General features: G+C 41.7%; 1 protein-coding gene across 8 annotated transcripts in view; it reads right to left on the bottom strand.

The window, feature by feature from the left end:
- The window catches only part of ZNF880 (zinc finger protein 880), a 30,809-nt gene that overhangs the window by 8,828 nt on the left and 5,488 nt on the right, over positions 1 to 16,493 (bottom strand). For 2 of the 8 annotated variants that reach the window (XR_007066826.1, XR_001753688.3), the window contains exons 2-4: positions 15,602 to 15,728; positions 14,412 to 14,540; positions 3,097 to 4,990 (exon numbers count right to left, since the gene is read on the bottom strand). Coding sequence is in view for 4 of the 8 variants with exons in the window: in XM_017026812.3 (XP_016882301.1) it covers positions 3,525 to 4,990; positions 14,412 to 14,540; positions 15,602 to 15,728 (1,722 nt within the window). In the remaining 4 variants the exon portion in view is untranslated. Of the gene's footprint in view, positions 1 to 3,043; positions 4,991 to 5,074; positions 6,564 to 9,159; positions 9,293 to 14,411; positions 14,541 to 15,601; positions 15,729 to 16,493 lie in introns of those variants that run through there. The other 6 variants (XM_047438838.1, XM_047438837.1, XR_007066827.1 and 3 more) reach the window with 5 other exon arrangements.

The raw sequence follows: 16,493 nt of genomic DNA, 5'->3' as shown, positions 1-16,493 counted from the left end.
TTACCTAGTCTTGTGTATGTCTGTATTAGCAGCATGAGAACAGACTAATACAACATCCCAGGCTGCTCACCTATCCCTGTTCTCCAATTTGGACCAGCTGGGGAAGTCCATCCTGCTTTCCCCAGAAAGCCTCATGTAAATGTTTATGTAGTAAACATTTGCAGACCATATCAGTGTATGGCATCATCATTCTCAATATATAATACAAACTTTAGGTGGACTTCAAACAAATTCCAGTACAGCAGTCAAAAGTTCAAATTATCGGTCAAGCATGGTGGCTCACACCTGTAATCTCAGTACTTTGGGAGGCTGAGGCGGGTGGATCACGAGGTCAAGAGATCAAGACCATCCCGGCCAACATGGTGAAACCCTGTCTCTATTAAAAATACAAAAATTAGCTGGGCGTGGTGGTGCACGCTTGTAGTCCCAGGTACTCATGAGGCTGAGGCAGCCGTTTGAACCCGGGAGGCAGAGGTTGCCATGAGCCAAGATCGCGCCACTGCACTCCAGCCTGGTGACAGAGACTCTGCCTAAAAAAAAAAAAAAAAAAAAAAAAGTTCAAATTGCCAAAAATGTTGTAAGGGGAAGTATATGAAGTTTCTAGTTAATCTACAAAAGCAAAAAAAACTCCCATTCTATGTGACCATTCTTAAAATTTATGGGCCAGGCGCAGTGGCTCACACCTGTAATCCCCGCACTTTGGGAGTCCGAGGCGGGTGGATCACAAGGTCAGGAGTTTGAGACCAGCCTAGCCAATATGGTGAAACCTTGTCTCTACTAAAAATACAAAAATTAGCCGGGCGTGGTGGTGCGCGCCTGTAGTCACAGTTATTTGGGAGGCTGAAGCAGAAGAATTGCTTCAACCTGGGAGGTGGAGGTTGCAGTGAGCCGAGATCGTGCCACTGCACTCCAGACTCTGTCTCAAAAAAAAAAAAAAAAAGAAAATTTATGAACATTAATATTTTCCACTTACGTCACTGAGCACTACTAGGAAAAAAAAAAAAGACATGCACTACTAGGAAAAAAAAGACATTGTGGTACAGTATTTTCACTCTTATTAACATACTTTCTTTCATTTAATAGTATTTGTCGCCAGGCACAGTGGCTCACGCCTGTAATCCTAGCACTTTGGGAGGCCGAGGCAGGCAGATTGCCTGAGTTCAGGAGTTCGAGAACAGCCTGGGCAACATGGTGAAACCCCGTCTCTAATAAAATACAAAAAATTAGCTGGGCGTGGCAGCGTGCGCCTGTAGTCCCAGCTATTAGGGAAGCTGAAGCAGGAGAATTGCTTGAACCCGGGAGGCAGAGGTTGCAGTGAGCCGAGATTGTGCCACTGCACTCCAGCCTGGGTGACAGAGCAAGACACTGTCTCAAAAAAAAAAAAAAGTATTTGTCATATATTTGTATTTTTGCTTCATAAAAATTAAGGTGCATGCCATGAGTCTTCCTTGGCACACAATAGGCACGTAGAAATATAATGAACAGTGAATGTTTCATGGACTTTTGAGGGTGTAGGAGGCTGAAGTGGCACAGAAAGAATAACTCAAGTATTAAGTATGATTAGTGTAAATTATACTTACCCAAGGATATGCACCACAAGTGTGTGCATATGTTGATTTCACACACACAAAATTGTTCTGGATGCGTCAACCTTAATGGTGCATTTTTTAAAAATGCCTATTTTACACTAAAGTTAGAGTGATTAGACACATATCACTGCTACATAACTCAGTGTGAAGACAAAGAAAACCAAATTGCAGAGTATTTACTATTAATGTTGCATTACTGTGCAGTATATTCTCCTAAGGGGGACTAAAACAATTGGTAGAAATGATGTGATTCATTCATACTTAGGAAAATTTTATTAATTAAAACATGAGAACTATGTACATTCTAAATCAAACAGTTGGAAATTATGCCAACAGTTAAATGTAAATGCTACTCAAGAACATGGCATACTGGTAGTTTAAATTCTCTAATCAACTGTTCTCTCTTCCATTTCAAAAATGACCACTATTTTTTTTTTTTTTTTTTTTGAGACAGAGTTTTGCTCTTGTCACCCAGGCTGGAGTGCAATGGTGCGATCTTGGCTCACTGCAACCTCTGCCTCCCGGGTTCAAGCGATTCTCCTGCCTCAGCCTCCCGAGTAGCTGGGATTACAAGCATCTACCACCACGCTCAGCTAATTTTTGTATTTTTAGTAGAGATGGGGTTTGGAGATATTGACCAGGCTGGTCTCAAACTCCTGACCTCAAGTGATCCACCCACCTTGCCTCCCAAAGTGCTGGGATTACAGGTGTGAGCCACCGCGCCCAGCCAAAAATGACTACTTTTTAATCATTCTTGCCTAAACAGTGATTGCTATGCAGTCCTAGTGCCCACCATCTCCCTTGCATGATTTCTACAGATATGCTCTATTTCATGGCTAGTTGGTAGAGCACAGAAGCACTGTGCCATTCTGTCAGGAAAAAAGTGCTCAGCAACAGTATGATGACTGCCATCATCATTTTATATGATTCCTCCCCACCTCCATGCTCTCTAAATCAGACAATAATAAGAAAACGCAGTGTCCTTCTTCCTCGGCAAACTGATAGAAATGATTCTCAGCTAATGAAGTCATCCCTGTCATCATACTGCTTCTTTTTCTTTCTTTTTTTTTTTTTTTTTGAGACAGAGTCTCACTCTGTCCCCCAGGCTGGAGTGCAGTGGCGTGATAGCTCACTGCAAGCTCCACCTCCCAGGTTCACACCATTGTCCTGCCTCAGCCTCCCGAGTAGCTGGGACTACAGGCGTCTGCCACCATGCCTGGCTAATTTTTTGTATTTTTAGTAGAGATGGGGTTTCACCATGTTAGCCAGGATGGTCTTGATCTCCTAACCTCGTGATCCGCCCGCCTCAGCCTCCCAAAAGTACTGAGATTACAGGCGGGAGCCACCGCGCCCAGCATCCTACTGATTCAAGAGACCACAGTGAAAGGTCTGTAAAGAAGTCACATGAAGTGATTTCAGAGTTGAGGATGAAAGTCATAAAATGTAAAGTAGCCTTTTCAAAAAACCCCATATAATTAGGTTTTTTAATTGCCTGAATATAACTGACCATTTCCACATGCCCTTGGACCTTCGACATGCATCGCGTCATGAGATTCAACGTATTTGGAGCTGTGACTTTTCTGCAGCATGCAGTATCATAAATATTGGAGAACTAGAGACTGAATTATCGCTTGTGTAAATCTTATCATGTTCCATAGTAATGGTCCTTGAATAATAGCCTCAGCATACATAATCCATCTGTATGGTTTCATCCAAGATGTATGTTTTGATATCTAGTCATTTGGCAGGCCTCAAGAGACCTGATTCACATACATTGCTATGATTTCTCTTTAGTATGGAATCTCTGATGTTGATTAATGCTAGAACTTAGCATGAAGAGTTTGCCATACTCAGTTTGTAAGAACTCTCTCATGAATGAATTATCTCATGCTGTGCAAGGTGTGAATTATTACTAAAGATCTTACCACACACATTTCATCTGTACGGTTTCTCTCCAGTATGGATTCTGTGATGATTTGCCAGGTTTGAATTTCGAGTGAAGTCCTTACCACATTCATGACATCTGTACGGTTTCTCCCCAGTATGAATTCTCTCATGTTTTTTTAGGTATAACTTGTGGCTGAAGACCTTGCCACATTCATTGCATTTGTAAGACTTCTCTCCAGTATGAATTTGCCTATGTCGTGCAAGGTGTGAATTGTGACTAAAGACTTTGTGACATTCACTGCATTTGTAAGGTTTCTCTCCAGTATGGATTCTGTGATGATTTGCAAGGTTTGAATTTCGAGTGAAGTCCTTGCCACATTCATCACATCTGTAAGGTTTCTCTCCAGTATGAAATCTCTGATGATTGCTTAGGGATAATCTATGCCTGAAGACCTTGGCACATTCTTTACATTTGTAAGGTTTCTCTCCAGTGTGAATTAGTAGATGGGCAGTAAGGCCTGAACAGTCTCTAAATGCTTTGCCACATTCATTACATTTGTAAGGTTGCTCTCCCGTGTGCATTCTATGATGATTGGTTAGACAAAACTTGTGCCTGAAGACCTTGCCACATTCTTTACATTCATAAGGTTTCTCTCCAGTATGGATTCTTTGATGTCTGGTAAGGTGTGCATTTCGATTGAAGACCTTGCCACATTTATTACATTTGTAAAGTTTCTCTCCAGTGTGAATTACAAGATGAGCAGTAAGGCCTGAACCCCCTGAAAATGCTTTGCCACATTCCTTACATTTGTAAGGTTTCTCTCCACTATGAATTTTCTGATGTCGTGCAAGGTGTGCATTTCTGTTGAAGACCTTGCCACACTCATTACATTTGTAAGGTTTCTCTCCAGTGTGGATTCTGTGATGATTTGCAAGGTGAGAATTTTGAGTGAAGACTTTGCCACACTCATGACATTTGTAAGGTTTCTCTCCAGTATGTATTCTCTGATGTCGTGCAAGGAGTGAAATTCGATTGAAGAGCTTGCCACATTCATGACACTTGTAAGGCTTCTCTCCAGTATGAATTCTTTGATGTTGTACAAGGTTTGAACTGTTACTGAAGACCTTGTCACATTCATTACATTTGTAAGGGTTATCTGCAGTGTGGATTACTTGATTGTTAGCAAGTCTTGAAGACACTCTAAAGGCTTTGCCATGCTCATTACATTCACACGGTTTTTCCCTTATTTGTGCTTTTTGTTCTTGTGGGAGAAATGGAGAATCATCAAAATCATTTCTGTATTTATTTAAAATGTGGGATTTGACACTAGAATAAATTTTTTGAAGTGGTGAAACTAAGGAATTGTTGATAGGTTTTTCGACATGTTTACATCCAGAAATATTCCTTTCAGCTTGAAATAGCTGCAGTTCACTCAGATGTAACTGAAAGGTTAATCCAAGTTGATTTTTAAGAGACTTGTTTCCGGCATTGCTTCCCAATTTAGAGCTGCTCTCTAAAAAAGAAAGAAAAAAGTGGAACTTCAACCCATGACAATGGCATGTTCAGTGTCTGACAGAGAGACTAGATTCTGCCTCACCTGACTCAGACATGGGAAGGAATATCAGCATACTGTGTGTATCATGCTGGCAGTGCAGAAAACAAAAGGGACGGAAGGATGCACTGGAGCAGTGGGGAACCTGCAGGAGTCAGGTGGATTATGGGTGAGTTTGAGAGAGATTATGAGCAGAAAAATACAACAGAAATTGAAAGCTTTTGAGAAAAAGCAGGGATGAGCCTCTTAAGGAAAATCAGAACTTTTAGAGCAGCTGTATAGTCATTAGTAATAGTACTTCCACACGCCAGGAAAAAAACACATCCCCAGAAAAGGAGTGGCTGTTCCTATACCCTTTATAGCAGGCTAATTAGTAAAGGTATCCTGCACAACGCTTACACAAAATAACTGGGAGAAGTGGTTGCTTTACCAAACCTAAACCAAAAATTACGAGGCCTACAAAAGGACAGGGAAATATGGCTAAAATTATGATCAATCAATCAATCTCCACAAAACAAGCCTAAAAATAGGCAGCCCTCTGAATTACTTGACAGGTATTTAAAGCAACTGCCTTAAGATGCTTAATGAGCTAAAAAAGATAACAGAGACAGATAACTAAATAAAATCAGGCAAACATTACATGAAAAGAAAAAGAATACCAATCACAGGAGAAACTACTAAAACCAAAAGAACAGAAATTCTGGAGCTTAAATATGATAACTGAAGTAATATTTCACTAAGGGATTCAACAGCAGACTGCAAAAGGAACAGAAAACAATGAGCAAATTGAAAGATATGTTATTCAAAAGAATCAGCTCCAAAGAGCAAAAAGAAAAAATGATGAAGAAAACCAACCCTAGTACATTTTTGAGATACTATCAGGTGGAACAATATACAAACTATTGGAGATTCACAGGAAGACAGAAGATTCGAAATCACCATTGTAGAAATAATGTTCAAACATCCCCAATCTAAGGAAAGAAATAAATATACAAATTCAAGAAGCTTGGTCAACTAACTAAACTAAAATGCTAACTAAAACGAACCCAAGGACATTCAGAGACATACTATACAGAAATTATCAAAAGTCAAAGACAAAGAAACAGTCTTGATAGCAGCAACAAAAAAGACTTGTCACATAAAGGGAAACTGTATAAGATTATGTGTATTTTTCAACAGAAACTTTGCAGGCTAGAAGGCAGTGAGAGGAAATGTTGAAAATACTTTTTTAAAAAAAGCAAAAATATCAACCAAGAATACTATATTTAGTAACATTCACCTGCAAAAATAAGAAATTTAGATGTTCTTAGAAAATGAAGAGCTGAGGGAGTGCATTAGTATTCTAGACTTACCCAACAAGAAATGCTAAAGGGACTCCTTCAATATAAAATAAAAGGTCTCTAAATAGTATCTTTAACCTCAATGAAAATAGAAAGTTCACCATTAAAGGTCAGTAAATAATCAAATATAGAGATATTTATTATTACTCTTTTCTTTTGTAACTTGACTTTTAATGGTTTTTGTTTGTTTTTTGAGACAGAGTCTTGCTCTGTCACCCAGGCTAGAGTGCAGTGGCGTGATCTTGGCCCACTGCAACCTCCCCCTCCCAAGCTCAAACAATTCTCCCACCTCAGCCTCCCAAGTAGTAGCTGGGATTATAGGCATGCGTTACCCCACCTGGCTAATTTTTGTATTTTTAGTAGAGACGGGGTTTCGCCATGTCAGCCAGGCTGGTCTCAAACTCCTGACCTCAGGTGATCCACCTGCCTCAGCCTCCCATAATTCTTTCCTAGTAATTAAAAGACAAAATCATTTAAAAAGCACTATATATGTATAGATTTTCCTTAAGAATCCCTGCTTTTTCTCAGAAGCTTTTTTGATATATGTTAATGGGACCATAACATATATCAAAATAATTTCTGCCATTAATAGCAGAAAGTGAGAGCAGAGTTGTGAAGTAGACCTTTCTGTACCTAAAGTTACACTGTTAATATTTAAAAATAGAATGTTTCAATTTCACAGTATTTGAAGTAGCTGCAATGCTAACCACAAAGAGAAAATCTATCCGACACACACAAGAGATGGGATTCAAGTATGTTACTATGATGAAACAAGCAAAATACTACAAAAGGCAGTAAGAAAGACATGTAGGGGAAAAAAATCTACAAGATTTAAAAAATCTACAGATAATAATCTAATATGTATTCTTTTGTTTTTAATAGTTACTATGTTTGATATTCTCCTTTTCATGTAATGTTGGCCTGATTTAACTTTGCAATCAGAAGAAAACAAGATTTACTAAATCCCATCTGCAAGAAACTCCCTTTAATTCTAAGGACACACACAGGCTGAAATGGAAAGGATGGAAAAATATTTTCCATGCAAACAGGAACCAGCAGAAAGTACAGGTAGCAGTGTTAATATGAGAGAATAGACTTTTATTCAAAAACCATAAGAGACAAAGATTATTATAAAATGATGAAAGACTCAATTCACCAAGAAGATACAACAATTATAAATATATAAACACCAAGTGTCAGAGCTCCTAAGTACAGAATGAGGCTGGATGCAGTGGCTCATGCCTGTAATCACAGCCCTTTGGGAGGCTGAGGCAGGAGGATTACTAGAGCCTAAGAGTTTGAGATAAGCCTGGGCAACACACTGGGACCCCATCTCTATTAAAAGTAGTAAGTAAATTTAAAAAAACTAAGTATAGAATGGAACTTGATAAAACTCCAAAGAGAAATAGCTCCACAATATTATAGTTGATTTCAATATTCCAGTTTTGAAAATGGATAGAACCAGAAGAAGAATAAAGAAAAAGACGATTCTGGTTGGGAGCAGTGGCTCATGCTTGTAATTCCAACACTTTGCAAGGCTGAGGTGGGAAGATCACTGATCCTAGGGGTTCAAGTCCAGCCTGGGCAACACAGCAAGACCCTGTCTCCACAAAAAATTTTTAAAAATTAGCCAGGCATGGTGGTACATGCCTGTAGTCCCAGCTACTTGGGAGGCTGAGGCAGGAGGATCACTTGAACCTAGGAGATGCAGGATACAATGAGCTATAACTGTACCACTGCACTCCAGCCTAGGCAAAAGAGCAAGAATATATCTAAAACAACGGAACAAGAAAGAAGGCAAAAATACATAAAACGCACTACAAGACAATGATTGTGAATGAAAGAAAACAATTGCCAGAGTCAAAAGGAAACTTAATGTAACAAAATATTTGCAAATCAAACCTCCGATAAGATGTTAATATCTAAAATATATGTAACTCATACAAATAAAAAGATTTCATTTAATATTATTATTGAATAAAAGTAAATGAAAAATTAAGAAATAAGGAAAAGAATGGAATACACATTTTTCCAGAGGTGATATACAAATAACTAGCAACCATATTAAACATGCAAAATACCACTAATCATTGGAAAAATGCAAATAAAAAACACAATGAGCTATCATCTCACATCCAATATGGAATATTTATTGTTAAAAAAAAAACCCAAAAGACAAAAAAAACAGTACATCACAAGTGGCAAAAATGTGCAGAAATGGGAGACTTATGTTCTGTTGCTGGAAATGTATAATGGTGCAAAGAAGTATGGGCCAGGTACGGTGGCTCACGCCTGTAATCCCAGCACTTTGGGAGGCTGAAGCGGGTAGATCACCTGAGACCAGGAGTTGGAGACCAGCCTGGCCAACATGGTAAAAACCTGTCTCTATTAAAGAAGTACAAAAATTAGATGGGTATGGAGGCACACGCCTGTAATCCCAGCTACTTGGGAGGCTGAGGTACAAGAATCACTTGAACCTGGGAGACGGAGGTTGCAGTGAACTGAGATTGTATACCACACTCTATCCTGGGTGACAGAGTGAAACCCTGTCTCGAAAATAATAATAAAAAAAAAAATAAGTATGACATTTTCTCAAATAATCCAAAATCAAATTACCAGTATAGGCAACAATTCCTCATCTGGGTATATATACAAAAGAACTAAGATAGCAGCTTAAAGAGATATTTAGAAACCCATGTTCATTGAAGCATTATTAAAAATATCAGAGCCGGGTACAGTGACTCATGCCTGTAATCCCAGAACTTTGGGAGGCTGAGGCGGGTGGATCACCTGAGCTGGGAAGAGCAGTTCTGCCCTCAAAGTCAAGGATGCAGCGACCTAAAACTGCACCACTGCCATCTAGCCTGGGCAGCAGAGTGAAACCCTGTCTCTAAAAAAATTAAAAATGAGGCCAGGCGCGGAGGCTCACGCCTGTAATCCTAGCACTTGGGGAGGCCGATGCAGAAGAATTGCTTGAATCCAGGAAGCGAAGGTTGCAGTGAGCCGAGATCGCGGCATTGCACTCCAGCCTGGGTGACAGAGCGAGACTCTATCAAAAAAAAAAAAAGAAAAATGAAAATAAATTCCCAATTTATACATTCTAATAAACGTAACTGACAAAAATATTATTTAATATCTTAATCAGGTAAAGGAAAGGAAAAGAAATATTTATACTACCCATTCCAAAACTCCTGGAGTGTATATAAGTGTTACATAAACTCCTAGGCAAAAAATAAAATAAAATAAAGGTCCTCAAAAATATATAAATCAATGGCCATTCCCTGATACAACATCCCCACACATATAAAACAAAGAAGACAAAGAGTACCATATGGAACTGTTGACTAAATACAAATAAGTTCATTTATTTTTTATTTTCTTCTTATTTTTTTTTCTGAGACAGGGTATCACTCTGTACTAAGGCTGGAGTTCAGTGACGCCATCATGGCTGGCTGCTGCCTTGACCTCCTGGGCTCAGGTGATTCTCCCACCTCAGCCTCCTGAGTAGCTAGGACTACAGGTGTGCACCACCACAGCCAAATTTTTATATGTTTTGTAGAGACAAGTTCTTGCCATGTTGTCCAGGCTGGTCTCAAACTCCTGGGCTCAATCAATCCACTAACCTCAGCCTCCCAAAGTGCTAGGATTACAAGTGTGAGCCACTGTGCCTGGCCCCAAGTTCATTTCTAATACATGGAAAGGCCCAAAATAAAATCAGCAGTGGCTTTAGTCTTATAACCAGATGTATCATTCTAGTGAGCTATTCTGTCACGAGGACTCGGGCATCCAATAAAGGATCTTTCTTTTTTTTTTTTTTTTTTTTTGAGACAGAGTCCCGCTCTGTCACCAGGCCAGAGTGCAGTGGCACGATCTTGGCTCACTGCAACCTCCACCTCCCGGGTTGAAGCGATTCTCCTGCCTCAGCCTCCCGAGTAGCTGGGACTACAGGCATGCACCACCACACCCAGCTAATTTTTTTTTATATTCTTAGTAGAGACGGGGTTTCACCATGTTGGCCAGGATGGTTTCGATCCCCTGACTTTCTGATCCGCCTGCCCTAGCCTCCCAAAGTGCTGGGATTACAGGCGTGAGACACCGCCCCGGCCTAAAGGATCCTTCTGTCAACTGTCTTTCCCATTCTGCTGAGTAAAAATCTCAGAAGAGCCACCTACTCCCGTTACACACACCACTAAAGTATGGACAAAGCACAACTGAAGAATGGCTGAGGAACCTTGTAAAATAAGAAATGCATACATTGGTCTCTTCGTTGGCTCCTGACACAGAGCTCCTAACTCCTTGGAATGTTCTGGGTGATAGGAATGTGATTTGTTCTAATGAGGCAACCTCTGTAGGTTCCCTGGACTGGGCTGATCATCAGAAAGACCAGGCCATGATTACAAGCATGAAAGTGTCAGCCCTATCCACTATCCTCCAGGAAGGGAAGAGGGGCTGGAGACTGAGATAATATCAATCACACCTATGTGATGAAGCCTCCATAAAAAATCCCTGAACTAGAAGAATCACTTGAACCAGGAGGCGGAGATTGCAGTGAGCTGAGATTGTGCCACTTCACTACAGCCTGTGACAGAGCAAGACTCTGTCTAAAAAAAATAAAAAATAAAAAATAATCCCTGAACTATGGGGTCACGAGATCTTCCAAATGCTGAAGACACACAGGTGCCTGGAGGGTGGCACACCCAGTGAATCTTCCCACGTGCCTCCCCCTGTGAATCTCCTCATCCGGCTCTTCATCTGTATCCTTCAAAACATCCTTCAGCGTGAGGCAGTGAACCTAAGAAAGTGTTTTACTGAGTTCTGTGGGCCACCCTAGCAAAGTAATCAACCCCAAGAAGGGGCTTGAGGGAACCCCAACCTGTAGCTGGTTGGTAAGAAGGAAAGGTGACAACCTGCTACTTGTGATTGGTTGCTGAGGTAGGGGACGTGTTTGGGAACTCAGCCCTTTGCCTGTGGGATCTGACTCTAATTCCAGATACATAATATCAGAAAGGCATCATAGAAAACTATTAGATGGCCACTGAAAAACTGGTTGTTGGTGCGTAGAAATCCCCACCCATTCGGTTGACCAGAAGTGAAGCGCTCTCTGCTGAGTGGCATTTGAGAGTAGAAAAAACACTGGATTTTCCCTATCTCCACAAGACCTCAAGAGGCAAAGAGGGGTTGAGACGCCTTCATGCAATCTTTGAGCCCCACATGCAAAAAAAAAAGAGCAGCCAATGTTTTCCTATCTTCTGATGAGGTCTTCCTCATATAGGAAATTGTGTGGACCATACACAGGTCAAGGAGGCAGGTCTATGCAGACCCCAGGTTTGATGTATAAACTTAGCATCAGATAAAATCACTACAGAAACAGAGACCATGGGAAAAAGAGACCCCTTTGACACAGCCCTCCCTATGTCCTTCAGAATGATGGAATCAAAGAATTCTCATAAGCCATATGACAGGGTGTTGTCCATCATGATAAAGACTTTGCCTATGACACAGCAAAAGAAATAATCGGCAGAGTAAACAGACAACCCACAGCATGGGAGAAAATCTTTGCAAACTATGTATCTGACAAAGGACTAATATCCAGAATCTACAAGGAACTCAAACAAATCAGCAAGAAAAAAACAAACAATCCTATCAAAAAGTGGGCTAAGGGCCGGGCACAGTCTCTCACCCCTATAATCCCAGCATTTTGGGAGCCCAAGGCGGGTGGATCACCTGAGGTGAATAGTTTGAGACCATCCTGGCCAACATAATGAAACCCCGTCTCTACTAAAAATACAAAAATTAGCTGGGCTTGGCAGTGGGTACCTGTAATCCCAGCTACTCAGGAGGCTGAGGCAGGAGAATTGCTTGAACTCGGGAGGTGGAGGTTGCAGGGGGCCGAGATCATGCCATTGCACTCCAGCCTGGGCGACAGAGCAAGACGCTGTCTCAAAAAAAAAAAAAAAAAAGGGGGGGGGGGGGCGGTGCTAAGGACATGAATAGACAATTGTCAAAAGAAAATACAGAAATGGCCAACAAACATATGAAGAAAGACTCCACATCACTAATTATCAGAGAAATGCAAATTAAAACTATAATATAATACCCTCTTACTCCTGCAAGAATGGCCATAATCAAAAAATCAAAACATACTACATGTTGGTGTGGATGTGGTGAAAGGGACCACTTTACACTGCTGGTGGGAATGGAAACTAGTACAACCACTATGGAGAACAGCGGGGAGATTCCTTAAAGGACTAAAAGTAGATCTACCATTTGATCCAGCAAAACCACTCCTGGGTATCTACCCAGAGGAAAAGAAGTCATTATACAAAAGAGACACTTCCACACACGTTTATAGCAGCACAATTCACAAATGCAAAAATAGAGAACCAGCTCAAATGCCCATCAATCAACAAATGGATAAAGAAAATGTGGCATACTAATATGGAATGCTATTCAGCCATAAAATGGAACGAAATAATGGCATTTGCAGCAACCTGGATAGAATTGAAGGCCATTATTCTAAATGAACTAACTCACTTAGGCAGGCCAGGTGGGAAGAATAGTTGAGGCCAGGAGTTCAAGACAAGCCTGGGCAACCTAGTGAGACCTCATCTCCACAGAACATTTTTTAAAAATTAGCAAGATGCAATGGCACATGCCTACAGTCCCAGTGACTTGGCAGGCAGAGCAAGATGATCATATGAGCCCAAAGCCTGAGGGAAAACCAAACATTGTATGTTCTCACTCATAAGTGGGAGTTAAACTGGGAGGATGCAAAGGCGATACAATGGACTTTGGGGTCTTGGGGGAAAAGGTGGGAGGGGGGTGAGGGATAAAAGACTATATATTGAATGTAGCGTACAATGCTCGGGTGATGGGTGCACCAAAATCTCAGAAACCACCACTAAAGAACTTATCTACGTAACCAAATGCCACTTGTTCCCCAAAACCCTATTGAAATAATTATAATAATAACATTATGCCCGGGAGCAGTGGCTCATGTTTGTAATCCCAGCACTTTGGGAGGCCAAGGTGGGTGGATCACTTGAGGCCAGGAGTTCGAGACCAGCTTGGTCAACATGGTGAAACCCCGTTTCCACTAAAAATACAAAAAAAAAATTAGCCAGGCTTGGTGGTGCACGCCTGTAATCCCAGCTACTTGGGAGCCTGAAGCATGAGAATGGCTTGAAATTGAGAGGCAGAGGTTGCAGTAAGCCAGGATCGTGCCACTGCCCTCCAGCCTGGGCGACAGAGCAAGACTCTGTCTCAAAAAAATAAATTAATAAAAATAAATTAAAAATTAAAAAAAAAAAACCAATACTAGTTTGGGTAACACAGTGAGACTCCATCTCAAAAACAAACAAGCAAACAAACAAAACGCCAAAAACAAAGAACACAGCAGCAGTAAGAGGGGGCAAAGAAAAATTTCCCTTCTAGGCCAGGCATGGTGGGTCATGCCTGCAATCCAAGCACGTTGGCAGGCCAGGTGGGAAGAATAGTTGAGGCCAGGAGTTCAAGACAAGCCTGTGCAACCTAGTGAGACCTCATCTCCACAAAAGATTTTTTAAAAATTAGCAAGATGCAATGGCACATGCCTACAGTCCCAGTGACTTGGCAGGCAGAGGTGAGATGATCATATGAGCCCAAAGACTGAGGGTACACGGGCTACGATCACACCACCACTACACTCCAGCCTGGGCAACAGAGCAAGAACTTGTCTCAACAAAACAAGACAAAACAAACTTCAATCAGAACTCACAGGATTTAAACTTTTATTTTCCCAAAGAATTCTCTCACTTGCAGAGAGCTCCCAAACAGAAACTCAAAGTGTGGTTTTGCAGGGTACAGTGGCTCATGCTTGTAATCCCACCACTTTCGGAAGCAGAGGAAGGAGGATCACTTGAGACCAGGAGTTTGAGGCTATGAGTTAAGCCACGATTGCCACTGATGATTGCCACTCTACGACAGCCTGGGTGACAGAGCAAGACCCTGTTTAAAAAAAAAAAAAATTATGGGGCCTCCACTCTGGCCATCCAAGCTCTTACCTGCGTTCACACCTTTGATGCACTCCCTGCCACCTGGATTGTTTGCTATTTTCACTTCACTCTGCAGATTCCGGGGATCTCTCCTTTGCTCCAACATGGAGATAACACTCAGGTCAGGAAGACAGATTCCTATTTAAAAAAAGAAAGAATATCAAGACTATCCTGGCTAACACGGTGAAACCCCATCTCTACTAAAAAATACAAAAAAAAAAAAAATTAGCGGGGCGTGGTGGCGGGTGCCTGTAGTCCCAGATACTCAGCGTGAACCTGGGAGGCGAAGCTTGCAGTGAGCCAAGATCGCGCCACTGCACTCCAGCCTGGGCGACAGAGCGAGACTCTGTCTCAAAAAAATAATAATAATAAAAAGAAAGAATAAATGTGTACTGTGGCATCTCCAAAATGCAAGCCCCATGTCTAGGTAGGAGAGAGGATATTATAAATGAATCAAGAATAGTATTTCGCCAGGCACGGTGGCTCACGCCTATAATCTCAGCACTTTGGGAGGCCGAGGTGGGCGGATCACGAGGTCAGGAGTTCAAGACTAGCCTGACCAATATGGTGAAACCCCATCTCCACTAAAAATACAAAAATTAGCCAGGCGTGGTGGCACGTGCCTGTAGTCCCAGCTACTCGGGAGGCTGAGGCAGAATTGCTTGAAAACGGGAGGCGGAGGTTGCATTGAGCTGAGATCCTGCCACTGCACTCCAGCCTGGCAACACAGGGAGACTCTGTCTCAAAAAAAAAAAAAAAAAAAAAAATTACAGTATTTCACATGAATTCATCCACTGCCTCCTTCTGAATGCTGAGGGAACATTGTAACATGCAGACATCAAGCTCTCTTACAAGAACTAATAAATAATAAGCACAGGGGTGGATAACACAGAACTGTATATCTTAAGTCTGTCATAAGGTTTGACGCATACTTAAGCCCTGGTACCACTCAATGATGAATCTCAAAGGGGCCAGAATTCTGAAGAAAGCAATTATTTTAAGTCCAGAAAGTATTATGGAGCTTATTGTTTCTGAAAAATACAGCATTATAAAGCATTATGGAGGTTTTCATTTCTGAGTCAACAGGGTTTCAATCTCAGTCAAGCAATACAGTGACTCCTAAGATGCTAAGAGGCACACGACAAAATGCAAAAATACACCAGGGCAGATCTTGACTTCTGAAGGGACATTATCCTCACCCAGAAAGACCAGGTTCCTGTAGTTCTCCACCATCACTTCCCTGTATAAAGTCCTCTGAGCAGGGTCCAGACATTTCCACTCCTCCTGAGGGAATTCTATGGCCACGTCCCTGAATGCCAAGTGTCCCTAAAATGAAAAACACATTTCACCAACAGGATATCACACAAAATGAGGAGACAGTTGTAAGGACTGACTTGATTGAAGTGGATGTTCTGACAAATCCACGTTAAGGTATTTTTTTAGCTAGTTATATGTTTCTAATTGTGTTTTAATATACTTCTCCATTAGAAGTTATGACATTCTTTTTTTTTTTTTTTTTTTTTTTTTGAGACGGAGTCTCGCTCTGTCGCCCAAGCTGGAGTGCAGTGGCGCGATCCTGGCTCACTGCAACCTCCGCCTCCCAGGTTCACGCCATTCTCCTGCCTCAGCCTCCCGAGTAGCTGGGACTACAGGCGCCCGCCACCACGCCCAGCTAATTTTTTTTTTTTTTTGTATTGTTAGTAGAGATGCGGTTTCACCATGTTACACAGGATGGTCTCGATCTCCTGACTTCGTGATCCGCCCACCTCGGCCTCCCAAAGTGCTGGGATTACAGGCATGAGCCACTGCATGCCCAACCTGATATTCTTTAAATTAGTATAGATTTCTAGGCCGGGCGCGGTGGCTCACACCTGTAATCCCAGCACTTTGGGAGGCCAAGGCGGGTGGATCATGAGGTCACGAGATCGAGACCATCCTGGCTAACATGGTGAAGCCCTGTCTCTACTAAAAATACAAAAAAATTAGCCAGGCGTAGTGGCGGGCGCCTGTAGTCCCAGTTACTCGTGAGGCTGAGGCAGGAGAATGGCGTGAACCTGGGAGGCGGAGCTTGCAGTGAGCCGAGATGGTGCC

This window comes from Homo sapiens, chromosome 19, assembly GCF_000001405.40.
Source record: "Homo sapiens chromosome 19, GRCh38.p14 Primary Assembly".
NCBI lineage: Eukaryota > Metazoa > Chordata > Mammalia > Primates > Hominidae > Homo > Homo sapiens.
This window is presented reverse-complemented; position numbering and strand designations above follow the sequence as displayed.